General features: G+C 48.2%; 1 protein-coding gene and 1 long non-coding RNA gene across 11 annotated transcripts in view, besides 2 other annotated features; one reads left to right on the forward strand and one right to left on the reverse strand.

The window, feature by feature from the left end:
* Positions 1-13,644, forward strand: part of MAP3K3 (mitogen-activated protein kinase kinase kinase 3) — a 73,889-nt gene that overhangs the window by 56,829 nt on the left and 3,416 nt on the right. For 2 of the 10 annotated variants that reach the window (NM_203351.3, NM_002401.5), the window contains 9 exons: positions 2,521-2,654; positions 6,272-6,345; positions 9,282-9,349; positions 9,544-9,636; positions 10,299-10,490; positions 11,019-11,167; positions 11,857-11,988; positions 12,488-12,617; positions 12,997-13,174. In NM_203351.3, coding sequence (NP_976226.1) covers positions 2,521-2,654; positions 6,272-6,345; positions 9,282-9,349; positions 9,544-9,636; positions 10,299-10,490; positions 11,019-11,167; positions 11,857-11,988; positions 12,488-12,617; positions 12,997-13,174 — 1,150 coding nt within the window. Of the gene's footprint in view, positions 1-935; positions 956-2,520; positions 2,655-6,271; positions 6,346-9,281; positions 9,350-9,543; positions 9,637-10,298; positions 10,491-11,018; positions 11,168-11,747; positions 11,836-11,856; positions 11,989-12,487; positions 12,618-12,996; positions 13,175-13,644 lie in introns of those variants that run through there. The other 8 variants (NM_001363768.2, NM_001330431.2, XM_005257378.3 and 5 more) reach the window with 5 other exon arrangements.
* LOC101927898 (uncharacterized) lies at positions 3,091-11,752 on the reverse strand. The gene is made up of 3 exons (XR_243740.4): positions 11,228-11,752; positions 9,848-9,930; positions 3,091-3,513 (listed from the first exon to the last, which is right to left on the reverse strand). It is a non-coding gene; the product is annotated as an uncharacterized LOC101927898 (long non-coding RNA).
* Positions 9,421-9,470: an enhancer, noted in NCBI's record as "active region_12552". NCBI's record gives its function as "activates an Ori minimal core promoter by ATAC-STARR-seq in GM12878 lymphoblastoid cells {active_cell/tissue: GM12878}" and the evidence as "EXISTENCE:reporter gene assay evidence [ECO:0000049][PMID:35858748]".
* Positions 13,302-13,391: an enhancer, noted in NCBI's record as "active region_12553". NCBI's record gives its function as "activates an Ori minimal core promoter by ATAC-STARR-seq in GM12878 lymphoblastoid cells {active_cell/tissue: GM12878}" and the evidence as "EXISTENCE:reporter gene assay evidence [ECO:0000049][PMID:35858748]".

Here is a 13,644-nt window from a genome sequence, read left to right on the forward strand (position 1 = left end):
GCCATTCTTTTTTTCCATTAAGTATTTTTCTTCCTTCTGAGGGTCTTTGAAATAGTGGGAGTCTCTCTGGCTCAGGGAGTTTGTTGAGCTCCATCAGTCTGTCAGGCCCACCCTCTTTTCCGGGATGTTCTAAGACCCTGGACTGGGCTCTTGAGCACCCTCTGCTGTAGATGCTTAGTCCCTGGTGCACTACCTCTACTTCCAGGTACAGGCTGAGTGCTCCTGGCTCCACATGAGCTTTGTTGTTTTGTCTATGAGACAGGGTCGCACTCTATCACCTATGCTGGAGTGCAGTGGTCCAAACACGGCTCACTGCGGCCTCAACCTCCCAGGCTCAAGCAGTCCTCCTGTCTCAGTCTTCCAAGTAGCTGGGTCCACAAGTGTGCGCCTGGCTAATTTTTAAAATATTTTTTGTAGAGATGGGGTCTCACCATGTTGCCCATGCTGGTCTCAAACTCCTGGCCTCAAGCATTTCTCCTGCCTCTCGAAGTGTCGGGATAATAGGTGTGAGCCACTGCACCTGGCCACACATGAGTTTTTGAGCAATAGGAAATATATATACATATATGTATAAACATGTATACACACACACATACATAAAACTAAAACTGTGTATCTCAGATTTTCCATCTAAAACTGGTCTGGACTAGGGATCTATCATCAAGAAAGGAGAGAAGCCAGGCATGGTGGCACCTGCCTGTAGCTGAAGGGGGAGGATTGCCTGAGCCCAGGAGCTCAAGACTAGCCTGGGCAACAGAGTGAGACCCTGTCTCTGAAACAAAACAAAACAACAAAACAGAATAGAATGAGTCAGGTACTTCCCTAGGTCTCCAGCTACCAAACTTGGTCTCTCTTGCTTCCTTAGCCATTTCCACAGAGCATCTTGCCTGCAGTTCCATTTCAGAAAACCTAGTGCTACAGCCCCTGAACTAGACTGGAGAAACCAGCCAGCAAGGAAAGTAACCTGCATTGTTGAGGGATGGTACTACTCTATTCCTGGTGTCTGGGAATTGCTGGGTCGTGGGAGAGAGGTAAGGGGTGGTAGATAAGGGAATGGAGGGCTCTTGTGTCTCTGGTTTTCTAAACAACAGGATAAATTTGTTCCCTTCAGAACAGGAAAAGGGTTCAGGATAAGAGTCTTACGTTTAAGTTTTGAAGCTACAAGAAATATTTGTGTGGGTATAGTTAAAGCTTTTTTTAAACCTTCTGAAAATTGGCTCTTCTGGTTTGGTGAGCTTAGGAAGGAAAAAAGATGCAAACTTTTGGCCTCATTTTTGTCTTCTCTGATCATGGAAAGCAACACAGCCAGTCAGAAAAAGCTCTTGGGCTAGGAGGAAGGAGGACCTGATTTCTCGGACTCAAAATCCCTTATGGCAGAAAAACATTGCTCAGTGACTTACAAAGTGTGTCATTTGTAAGACTGCACACCTCTGTCATTCACTAACATTAGGATGATAAACCATTTCATCTTACAAGCTGATGTGGTGAAAGTACCTGTTAATTGGTTTTATAGTCTCTTATCTGTAAAACATAAATAATTGTTTTTGGGTGTTTTGGGTTTTTTTTTTTTTTAAGATTTAAGTTCCTTGAGTCTCCGTCTCCTCCTCTGTTAAGTAAAGCAAATGCTTACCTCTCAGGATTGTTGAAAGGATTAAGTGAAGTAACAAATGTAAAAATACCTTGTGGAATGATTGCCACTTAGCAGCCACTCAAAAAATATTTGCCAAACCTCTGTTGTAGAGATGTTGAAAATCAAATGAGGTTAATTACTGTGAATGTGTAACAAAAAGTAAAGCACCACATAAATGCAAGATAATATCATTACTCAGACCAACCTGAGCAACATAGTGAGACCCTGTCTCAATTTAAAAAAAAAAAAAAAAAAGGTAATATCATTACTCATAAGCCAGGAAGTGTGGGAGTGGGTAGGAATGGAGAAGCCTGCCTTTTGATCCTGGCCAGACCATCACGAAGGCCTTTTTACCTGATACAAGTAGAGAACAAATAAGGGGAGACACTGGCTGGGGGAACAGGGCAACAGAGAGAGATGCACAGGTATATTCAGTTACCTTTCCCTGGTCCCCACCCTCAAAATACTGCTTGGACCCAAAACTAAAGAGGACTAAGCTGATGTATTGAGCTGATGGGAGGAAATGGCATTAGTGCTCTAGAGGAAGAGAGAAGGTGACATTATGAAGGAGTAATTATATATAAGAATTTTTTTAAAAGCTAGTCTGATTGCCAGCTAAAATGGTCTCCTAGGGGTTATTCTGGTTTCTGTTTTGTGTCAAGGTTTTTTTGGTCGGATATGCCGTAGTGCCTGCTCCATCTCTGGAGTTTGTTTCCTATTAGGAAGGGACTTTGTTTGCCTGAGGGAGCTGGCACATGCTGGACGTTGGTGCCATGACCCATCTGAGTCACATTCCTGACCTCTAGGGCCTAATAGTTGGCCCCATGCCTGCTCCTCTTGGGCCACACACCCTGGGCTCTGTTGTTGAAAGCCTCCTTTATGTGCTCTAGGCTCCCAGAACCCTGGCCGAAGCTCACCTCCCCCTGGCTATGTTCCTGAGCGGCAGCAGCACATTGCCCGGCAGGGGTCCTACACCAGCATCAACAGTGAGGGGGAGTTCATCCCAGAGACCAGCGAGCAGTGCGTGAGTATAGGGGGGCTGGGATATGCCTGTGGCCTGTATCAGCAGACCAAGCTCATAACAAGGGGTTCTTAGTAGTCACAGTGCAGAACTGAGGGACATGAACCCCATTTGAAAGCTCTTTTATAAACCAGGCCTGCCCAAATATGGATTGTCCCTTTTTAAGGGCCAAATAACAATTTCTGCCAAAGATGGGATCTAAAGGATCTAAACTACATAGTTTCCTTGTTGTTGGGTGAGGATTTAACAGATTTTTCTTCATCGTGGTCCTCTCATTGTTCCTACAGGCAGGCACCACCACGCCCAGCTCATTTCAGTAGTGTTTTAACATACGACTGGTTCTAAAGTGACAGGTTATGTTTTTCATTGGATATATTTTAGTTTTGCTGTTTCTTGATGAAAGGTAAGGAGTAAACCATATCAAAATTACACTGTAGGATTGGTTAGGCTGATCATTTATGATGGTAGACAGTTGTATTAGTTATCTATTGCTCCATAACAAATTACCACAAACCTAGAGGCTTAAAACAATATACATTTATCATTTTCCAGTTTCCCTGGGTGAGGAGTCCAGGCATGACTCAAATGGGTCCTCTGCTGAGGGTCACACAAGACTGCGATCAAGGTGTCAGCCAGGCTGCCTGCCTTTCTTGAGTTTGAGGCTCTTTTCTAAGCTCAGATGGTTGTTGCCAGAATTCAGTTTTTTTGTGGCTGTAGGACTGTGGTTCCTCTTTTCTTCTGAATGTCACCCAAGGGCTTCTCTGAGTTCCCTTCCTAGAGGCCACCTGCAGTTCCTTGCCATGGGGCCCTCTCACAACATGGCAGCTTCTTCAAAGCCAGCAGGAGAATCTTTTGCTCCAATCTGCAAAGATGGAGTCATAAAACATCACATAATCATAGGAATGAATATTCTATCCTCTTTGCCATAGTCTATTGGCTAGACTCACGTCACAGGTTCTACTTGCACTAAAGGGAAAGGCAGTTCATTGGGACTAATTGGAAGAGGGAGCAATCACCTTAGGGTGTGTCTACCACAGTGGCTCAGCCATTTTAGTGGCTAGCTTTTAAATTGGTGGCTTACTTGATGCAAATGGCAATTTGGCTTAGTGAACTCACCAAGCATGAGATCTCTAGCTTCATTCTGGTCTTTTCAATAAACTTGCTTTGATGTAAAAGAAAAGGCTGCTCTTACACTTTCTGGGCTTGGCCTGAGAAGGGGAAATTTCTTAAGGGGAAAATGTCCAACAGAAGGGCCTGTGCTGTCACATGGGAGATCTTATAAAAAGCTGATTCTTGTAACTTTTCTTTCATTATTCAAACTATGTAGGCTATGAGAAGCCCTTTGTACTCTTCTTCCTTCTATACTCCTGCCTTCCAGATAAATTCATGTTTGGAGTAGTGACCTGGAGTGCCATTAGCTGCAGATTTCCTTTTTGGGCATTTTACTGACCATCCTTTCTGGTTTCTCTAACCAGGGCACTTCTGGACATCAGCTGTTCTAGGGGTGACTTGGGTGTAAAATCCCAGAGATTGCAGATGAGCTTGATTGCCCTCAGTCTATGTCCCTCGCCATGGTCCTATACTCTGCCCCCTTCACTTTTTTACTTTGCCTGCATGGCCCTGGAAGGCCTGGGAGGATTTGACTCCCAGTGAGGACAGACTTTTAGAAAGAGGCCAAGGAAGGCAGTGGTTGGGGATTGCCAAGGTCCTCCCCCAGCGCCTGCCTCTTTAGCTGAAGAGAATTGCTCCTGGTAACAGGCCATTTGAGATCAATCTGCTTAACAGGAACGAACACTGCATAGTATGTAATAAAAGAATATTCCAGTGTGACTTTACTGAAAAGTGAAAATATGATAAGTTTTGTTTTTTCTTTAATCAGGTTTAAGCAATAATTGCATCTATTTACTAATTTTTAGAATGAGCAAAGCATGATTCATGTTAATTTTTTGGCCTAATTTTTCCAACAAAAATTATGTCAGTCCGGTCGCAGTGGCTCATAGCTGTAATCCCAGCACTTTGGGAGGCCAAGGCAGGAGGATTGCTTGAGGTCAGGAGTTCAAGACCAGCCTGGGCAACATAGCAAAACCCTGTCTCTACAAAAAAAAAAAATTTAATTAGCTGGGCATAGTGGCACACCTGCCTGTAGTCCCAGCTACTCGGGAGGCTGAGGTGGGAGGATCACTTGAGCCCAGGCTGCAGTGAATTGCACTCCAGCTTAGGTGACAGAATGAGACCCTGTCTCGAACAACAGCACCAACAACAAAATGCTAGCACAATGTAACGTCCTTCACTCCCTGCTTGACTTCTAACCATAAAGAACGTCATTTTTTACAAGAGCGTTCACAGGACTCAGCAGTTTTCCCCAAGGCCTCTTGTGAATCTTTGGTATTCTTCCTCCACCACACCTGCCATGTTATTTATTTGTCCATTTTGTCTTTTTCTGTTAACTAGTCTAAATTTGCCAAATATGCATCTGATGGATTTAAAGCAATTCTCTCCGATGTTGGTTTCATCCACTTTGGCTATCCTATATCCTTAGCAACATTTGCAGTTTTACTTTGCAATTAATTTGCCTTGATTGGCAGATTTTAAAAAATCATGTGTGACAACATGACTTAAAGCATTTGAAATTATGGGTGGGGATGGACCCTGGTATTAAATGGGAAAAAATATTTGAGTTGGAAACTAATTTTATGGAGGTCGTTAGTGAATTTTCATAATTCTGATACTTTGTTTCCCTATGTAATTTTTTAAAATTAATTAAAAAAATATTTAAACAGAAACAAGATCTCACTATGTTGCCCAGGCTGGTCTTGAACTCCTGAGTGCAAGTGATCCTTCCCTCTCGGCTCCCAAAGTGCTAGGATTACAGGCATGAGCCACCAAGTCTGGCCCCTATGTAATGTTTAATGTTGGAGCTCGGATAATGAATATTCTGAAATTGAAGACCCCACCCCAACTTTTGTGCAGAGAAAATGAAAGGGAGGACCTTCAGGACATTGATTGGAGAAAAAGGGATTCCAAAGGCCTTTTGTTGCTGCATTTGACCAGGGGCCAGAGAAATATTTTATTATATTTAGATATCTATTACCTCTGCATTGGACCAGGAACTGGGACATTTTTGTTCTGGTATCAGCTGTGCACTAACTAGTTTTATGACTTTAGACAAGTCTCCTAACCTTTCTAGGCCTGTAGTGCTCATCTGTGAAATGAGGCAATCCTTGTCTTTGTAAATTATAAATTATGGAGTGTAAACAGAAGCATTAAGGTCCCACCCGAACTCACTGGAAGGCTCAGCAGGGTAGTACCATCTCCAGCGCCAGGCTCCAGTGTTAATGAGCCAAGAACATGCCAACAAGAAAAGCAGAGCCTCTGCTTTGCTCTCCTGCCAGAGCTCCTTGGGATGCCAGCCAAGCATTTTTCTCCCTCCTGGAAACTTGCCTTTCAAACTAAGGGGGAGGATGGTACCTTTCTAACTATTCTTCCCATTGCATGGGGAGAAAAAGGACACTTTCATGTTTTGACAAAAAGGCCCATTTGCTGGCCCTTGCCATAAAGCCTGGGTCACTGGGGGGAATTGGGGCTGGGGGTGTGGCTTCATTGTTTGACTTGCCTTACAGATGCTGGATCCCCTGAGCAGTGCAGAAAATTCCTTGTCTGGAAGCTGCCAATCCTTGGACAGGTCAGCAGACAGGTATGGGACTGTGGGTGGTTTGGAGGGTAATGCATAGGCATTTTTGGAATTGATGGGTTGAGGAAGAAGAGTTAGCTCTGGAGGCCCAGGGTTAAAACATCATGCTTCTAGGAAAAGCCTTCTCCTTAATTTCCCCAACACCACGAGAATGTTATGATGGCATAATTAAATGAATGTAATAATAGCTCATAAAATAGCAGCTCATTTATTAAGTACTTGCTTTGTTGTTCTAAGTGCTTTACATGTTTTGACTTTCCATATAATATATGCCGCTCTCGTACTTTTGGCCTCACTGCTGTGATCTGAACTGAGAAGGAGTGGACTGTCAGTGTTTTAGGGGGAGAACTGAATTCTCATCCATTGCTTTACCATCATTTTTTATTCCAAGTGTTTTTGGTGGAGTAAGAAACTGAAACCCAAAAACAGAATATCCAGAATGCCTAGTGTACCATGCCACCTGCTTGGTGTATATCTTCTTCTTACACTTTGGGAGGAAACAAGTGGTGTCCTTTACATACCAAATCGCAAGGGTATGTTTGGAGAGGCCTTGGCATTGATCTTGCCACTCCCTCGCCTCTGCCTCATTATGCCCAAGAACACTTTTGATCACGTCTGTCTGGGCTTAGGACTGTGGTCAGAGGCTATGGAAAAGGTTTGGGGATTTTTTTACTTTGTGTAACTGATTAATTGTTCATTTGGGTAGTGATATTATGACTATGGCTAAATTTGCATTGTCTTGCCTAATAGACCTGAGCACTGATGAGCACTGTCTTCCCTTTAGATATCATAGAATACAGTCATGGTTACTTGGTTTCCAATGTGTAGCCTTGTTTGGGGCTTGCTTTCCAACCAGGGGAGTAAGAAGGCACAGGCAAGAGTGCCAGGGCTTGCTGTCATAGACTGAGGGCTCTGCCAAGACAGGGATTGACTCTGGCTTTGGATTATCTCCTAAGCTTTGGAGGGGAAAGGGGAGAGAAGAGGACTACAGAAGGTCTAGTAGTTGGGAAATGAGGGGGCAGCCCCCTTGTGCCACTGCCTTGAGAGTTTCAAACCTGTGGCCCCCGCAAAAGGCCAATAAGCACTCTTGTGTAAGGGAAAGGGCCATTCAGGTGGGTGCTGGGAAAGATAGCTAAATTTACCCGCCTCTCTATTCTTGGGTTTTTTCCTCTGTGCCTGCAGTACTTTGTTTTCTTCTCATTGTGAATGACCTGGACTTATTTCCTTGAGGTCCAGCCTGACTTGGGCTCAGGGCTTTCATCTTCCCTTCACGGGATCTGGGAAAGGGCATGAGATCTGGAGCCAGACAAACCTAGATCCAGTCCCAGCTCCACCAAATATTAGTTGAATGGCTTCAGACAAGTCTTTTAACCTCTCTATTCCTGAATTTCCCCATCTCCAAAATGGGATGGTGATGATTAAGGTGAAAGAAAGATGCCTGGTTTAGCAGCAAGAACATAGACTTTGGGTTCATAGACCTGGATTTAAAGTCTGGCCTTGAGGCACCGTGGCTCACGCCTGTAATCCCAGCACTTTGGGAAGCTGAGGCACGCGGATCACCTGAGGTCAGGAGTTTGAGACCAGCCTGACCAGCATAGCGAAACCCCGTCTCTACTAAAAATGAAAAAAAAAAAAAAGCCAGGCGCGGTGGCTCCTGCCTGTAATCCCAGCCCTTTGGGAGGCTGAGGTGGGTGGATCATGAGGTCAGGAGTTCGAGACCAGCCTGGCCAACATAGTGAAACCCTGTCTCTACTAAAAAATACAAAAAAAAAAAAAATAGCTGGGCGTGGTGGCAGGCGCCGTAATCCCAGCTCCTTGGGAGGCTGAGGCAGGAGAATTGCTTGAACCCAGGAGGCGGAGGTTGTAGTGAACCCAGATCGCCCCATTGCACTCCAGTCTGGGCAACAGTGTGAGATTCCGTCTCAAAAAGAAAAAAAAAAAAAGCAAAAAAAATTAGCTGGGCATGGTGGCACATGCCTGTAGTCCCAGCTACTTGGGAGGCTGAGGCAGGAGAATAGCTTGAACCCAGGAGGTGGAGGTTGCAGTGAGCCAAGATCATGCCACTGCACTCCAGCCTGGGCGACAGAGCGAGACTCCATCTTAAAAAAAAAAAAGTCTGGGGCTGGGCGCGGTGGCTCATGCCTGTAGTCCCAGCATTTTGGGAGGCCGAGGCGGGTGGATCACAAGGTCAAGAGATCGAGACCATCTTGGCCAGTGGCGCGTGCCTGTAGTCCCAGCTACTCGGGAGGCTGAGGCAGGAGAATCGCTTGAACCCGCGAGGTAGAGGTTGCGGTGAGCTGAGATGCTACAGCACTCCAGCCCGGCAGCAGAGCGAGACTCCATCTCAAAAAAAAAAAAAGTCTGGCCCTGTCTTCCTAGCTTTATCTTTGAGCATATACATAGGACTGTGTGTGCCTAATCTGTAGGGGTGTCTGTGAAGACAGAAACAGCCTAGCTGCTCATCAAGTGGATCTGCTATTATGCTATTTTTATTATATGGTGTATTTGCTACCTCACAGCGTTCTGAGGATTAAATGAGAAAAACCTCACTTTAGAAAATAGGTAAGAAAGCAGCAGCCTATCAACGATGATGCTGTGGCTGTTTTTATTACTGCCCTGGGCAAAGGATTCTCTTGGAGCTCTTTGCCTGTTACAGAGGTGGGAAGAAAGGCCAAGGAGGGAGAGGGCTGTGCAGCCAGGCTGGAGTTGGGTCAGATGGGGGAGATTTACCACTCAGGGTGCTGTCAAATTTGGGTCACAGACTAGTGAAGGGAGGGTGGAGAAAGCAGGAGCTGGGCTCAGAAAAGGGCTATTTCCCGCAAAATCTGCTTCCCCCACCTAATGCTGTGGCAGGGGTTAGAAAGGGAGACTGCCTGGACGCCCTGCTTGGTTGCTGTGGAAGTGTGCGGGAGTCTGTTTTTTCTTTTTGTTTTCTCCAGCCCATCCTTCCGGAAATCACGAATGTCCCGTGCCCAGAGCTTCCCTGACAACAGACAGGAATACTCAGGTGAGTTCCACAGAGCCTGGGTGGGTAATGCAGGGTGTCTGGGTGGGGCCTCAGGTGGCTCTGCTTCGACTTTTCTGAGTCAGTAGCTCTCCTTGGGCTTGCTGCTTTGAGGTCTCAGGTGCCTTGGGGACTTGGGGGCTTAAGTGGCTCACATTGACCTACCCAGAAGCCAGTGATTCCCCTGTCTTACTCAGATCGGGAAACTCAGCTTTATGACAAAGGGGTCAAAGGTGGAACCTACCCCCGGCGCTACCACGTGTCTGTGCACCACAAGGACTACAGTGATGGTGAGTTCTTCTTCACCTGCTCCCTGCTGGCTGCCTCAAGAAAGGACAAGTTGCCATGGGGAGGGTGGGTTCGTCCATGCAGTGCCTGTATTTTCCTTCATTCCTGAGGATTTGTGGCCCAGACTTGAGGCATGGGAGACAGGAAAAAAACAAAAACAAAAACAGGGAAGATAGTATTTGTAGACCAGATGCTGCCACTGGGAACTCTGACCTTGTTTGAAGCCAGTGGTGTGCTCCAGGGGCACCATCTCTCCCATGTCCTCTTCTGCCCCACAGCAGCAGGTGGCCTGGGCCCTGTAGAGGGGTAAGGAGTAGGATACAAGGAAATCAGTGCCTTCGGGTGTGGCTTGGCCTTGCAAGCAATTGGGAGCCTGTTGGCCAGCCATACACCTTCCCTTTGGCCAGATCTCCCTGAACCAGACTACTTCCTAATTTCTGCTTTTGTCCTGATTCTTGGAGTGCTTGGGACAGCAGCCTCTGTGGAATGAGTCAGGTGGGAGTGCGGACGGGATGGGCTGGAGCTGGTATTATCTATCACTTCTGGCTGAGACCTGGTTTGTATATTCCGCCTTGTAGCCCGGGGTGTCTCAGACCTGGTTTGTACGTTCCGCCTCGTAGCCTGGGGTGTGACTTGCTCTCCTCTGGCCCTTGCACCCTTTCAGGCAGAAGAACATTTCCCCGAATACGGCGTCATCAAGGCAACTTGTTCACCCTGGTGCCCTCCAGCCGCTCCCTGAGCACAAATGGCGAGAACATGGGTCTGGCTGTGCAATACCTGGACCCCCGTGGGCGCCTGCGGAGTGCGGACAGCGAGAATGCCCTCTCTGTGCAGGAGAGGAATGTGCCAACCAAGTGTGAGGAGCTGTCCCTGGCTAGGAGGAGACTGCCCAGGTGGTCTCAGACAAGCTACGGGGGCAAACAGCTGGGCCCCTGGGACCCTTAGGCTCAGCAGGTGGTGGCTTTGGCCCAAATGCACCACATGGGATAAGCCTTGGAGTGTCTGAAGCCTGGCTCCACTATTGTGTGACAAGCCTCTTCTCCTCTCTGATCTTTAGTTTTTCCATGTTTAAACTAGGGAAGAGCACACCCTTCATCCCTGCCATATTAAGATATTTAGGGGCTTTGGAAGGAAATGCATTTGATCAATGCAGAAGAGCATTTAACCATGACTTCAGCCAATCCTCTGCTTCTTAGGACTCTGACTTCAGGTCCGAGTGACTAGGGCACTGGGCTTGCTCCAGATTGTGGTGGAGATGCTCTACTAAGAGATGATGGGTGCTGGGTGAGGGGGAGCCTGAGCCAGAGACCCTGTTCCTGGAGAATGAATGGGATATTCATAAATAATGTACACAAAGTAACTCTTTCCTTCTGCTCTCCTGTAGCTCCCAGTGCCCCCATCAACTGGCGCCGGGGAAAGCTCCTGGGCCAGGGTGCCTTCGGCAGGGTCTATTTGTGCTATGACGTGGACACGGGACGTGAACTTGCTTCCAAGCAGGTCCAATTTGATCCAGACAGTCCTGAGACAAGCAAGGTACACTTAACCCGTGGTCTGACTTCAGTTCCCTCCTTTCAACAAAAATGCCTGTCTTACCACACAGAGTAGTTGCCTGAGATGCTGTAGGTTGCTTCCTCTGTCATTCTTCCCAAACTCCCTTTCTGTCCATCCTGGTCCCAGCCACAGGGTGAAAGGACTGTGGTCTGAAGAGCACCAAGCACCTGGAGGGGAGGGATTGGGTGTAAGGAACTAAGCTGATGCCAAAGTACCAAGTAACCCAAACTGAGAGGTGATGACCTGTGACACAGAGGGGACTCCCTCCCCTAGACAAGTATCTCTCCCCAGCTCTCAGCCCAGGAAGGAGCTGTGGGGCTCCTTCACTTGGTCCAGCTCTAGAGGAGGAATCATATGGCCTGTCTTTGCAGTTCAGCTTTCAACGTCGCTTATACTTCAAGTTCTGTGGACAAACAGCAGTTACCTTAACTAAGCACCCACGGCCCCTTCTCCCACCTCCCTGCCTCCTTCCACCCATGGGAGTGCCACCATCCCAAGGCCTGCCCAGCATTGTGGCCAAGAGCTAGACAGTTAAGAGAGTCCCCCTTTTCTCCAACTGCAGTTCCCAAGGCAGATCCCTGTGAGGCCACTAACTAGGGCAAGCTGAGCTGAACCCAGGCGGGCAGAACTAGGGCCCTGAGAGCTGAGGCGACCACTGACCCCTCCCCTAGGAGGTGAGTGCTCTGGAGTGCGAGATCCAGTTGCTAAAGAACTTGCAGCATGAGCGCATCGTGCAGTACTATGGCTGTCTGCGGGACCGCGCTGAGAAGACCCTGACCATCTTCATGGAGTACATGCCAGGGGTACGTGCCCCTTGAATGCATGTGAGACACACACAAAAGAGGGCCTGACCTGGGGGCTGGGGCCTGCAGGAGGGGGGTCACCTTGGATAGGAGTTTGAACACCTGAGGCTCCAGAGGCCCAGAGGAGCAAAGTGAGGTGATGGTGGGACTTGGAGTCAGGAGGGCCCTGCCTCAGGTTGCAGTGGGAGTATGAGATGACAGCTGTCCTAGGTCCAGCACTCCCCTGAGGCATGCAGGGCTGGCCCACTGTCCAGTAAATGCAGCCTTCATCTGGAGCAGAGAGGCCTCCCTGCTCCTGGATTTGGGTGGCGCTCTGCTTGAGAAGGACTTGGGGTACTCTCTTTTCCAAACTGCCTGACAGCTCCTGGCAAAATGCCCTGCCCAGCCAGATAGGAATTGAACAAATCACTCCTTTGCTGCCATGCTGGGGGCTGGAATGGGCTTGCCCCTCCACCAGCCCTCCCCTGAGGGGACTCCTCTGACTTCTTGTGGCCTCCAGGGCTCGGTGAAAGACCAGTTGAAGGCTTACGGTGCTCTGACAGAGAGCGTGACCCGAAAGTACACGCGGCAGATCCTGGAGGGCATGTCCTACCTGCACAGCAACATGATTGTTCACCGGGACATTAAGGGTGAGCAGGGCCAGGATACATGGAGTCCCCAGGACCTGGGTTCAAGTCTACCATTGAGTGCCTGCAGGGGCCAATCACTTAACCATTCTGAACTTTCTGAAAAGTGGGACCCCAGTTGTTTCCCTGAGGAACTGGTGAGATTGGTTGAGCAATATGAGAGAATATTGCCAAGTTCCCTCTACATGTGGGCCTTGGAGATGGTCATTTTGTGCGGTAGATCTGAGACTCCCCTTTGCTAAATCCTTTGCCCTTTGCAGTTCATGTCTAATTCAGTGGTAGCCCTGCCCTCTCCAGCAGCTCTCAGTGACCCGGGGGTGGGGAGGATGGGAGAAAATGCAAGAGGGTCCAGGGTTGCAGCCTCTGCCCTTTCATGCCTCAGGAGCCAACATCCTCCGAGACTCTGCTGGGAATGTAAAGCTGGGGGACTTTGGGGCCAGCAAACGCCTGCAGACGATCTGTATGTCGGGGACGGGCATGCGCTCCGTCACTGGCACACCCTACTGGATGAGCCCTGAGGTGATCAGCGGCGAGGGCTATGGAAGGAAAGCAGACGTGTGGTGAGCACTGGGACATGCAGAACCCATTCTTCCACCCAGGCCATAGTGGCCCCCCATTAGAAACACACCCTGGGGACTTTGTGGTGTGGCAGGAGGGAGTGTGCCCAGGGCCCAGGCTGCAGTGTGTGCAAGGGTATTATTGGGTGCAGTAGCACACACACCACATGGGTGGTGCTCAAAGCACACTCCATTAGAGCTGGGAACTTAGGCCATGGAAAACATCCCTCATGTTTGCTAAATCTCTTAAGGAAGCAGGATCCACTCTGAAGGCCTGAAGGCCTGGACCAGTCTCTCAACAGGAGCAGGCTTCTGTCCCTTCTCCTAGCACTCAAGACAGTTTGCACTTGCTCGACATAACCTTGTGTCTATCCTCTGAAATGGCCCCTAAGTCAGGAGAGCTTCTCCCCTTGGAAAGCTATTGTGGTGGGCTGAATAATGGCCCCCCCAAAGATGTCCACTGCCTAATCCCT

Source organism: Homo sapiens, chromosome 17, assembly GCF_000001405.40.
Source record: "Homo sapiens chromosome 17, GRCh38.p14 Primary Assembly".
NCBI lineage: Eukaryota > Metazoa > Chordata > Mammalia > Primates > Hominidae > Homo > Homo sapiens.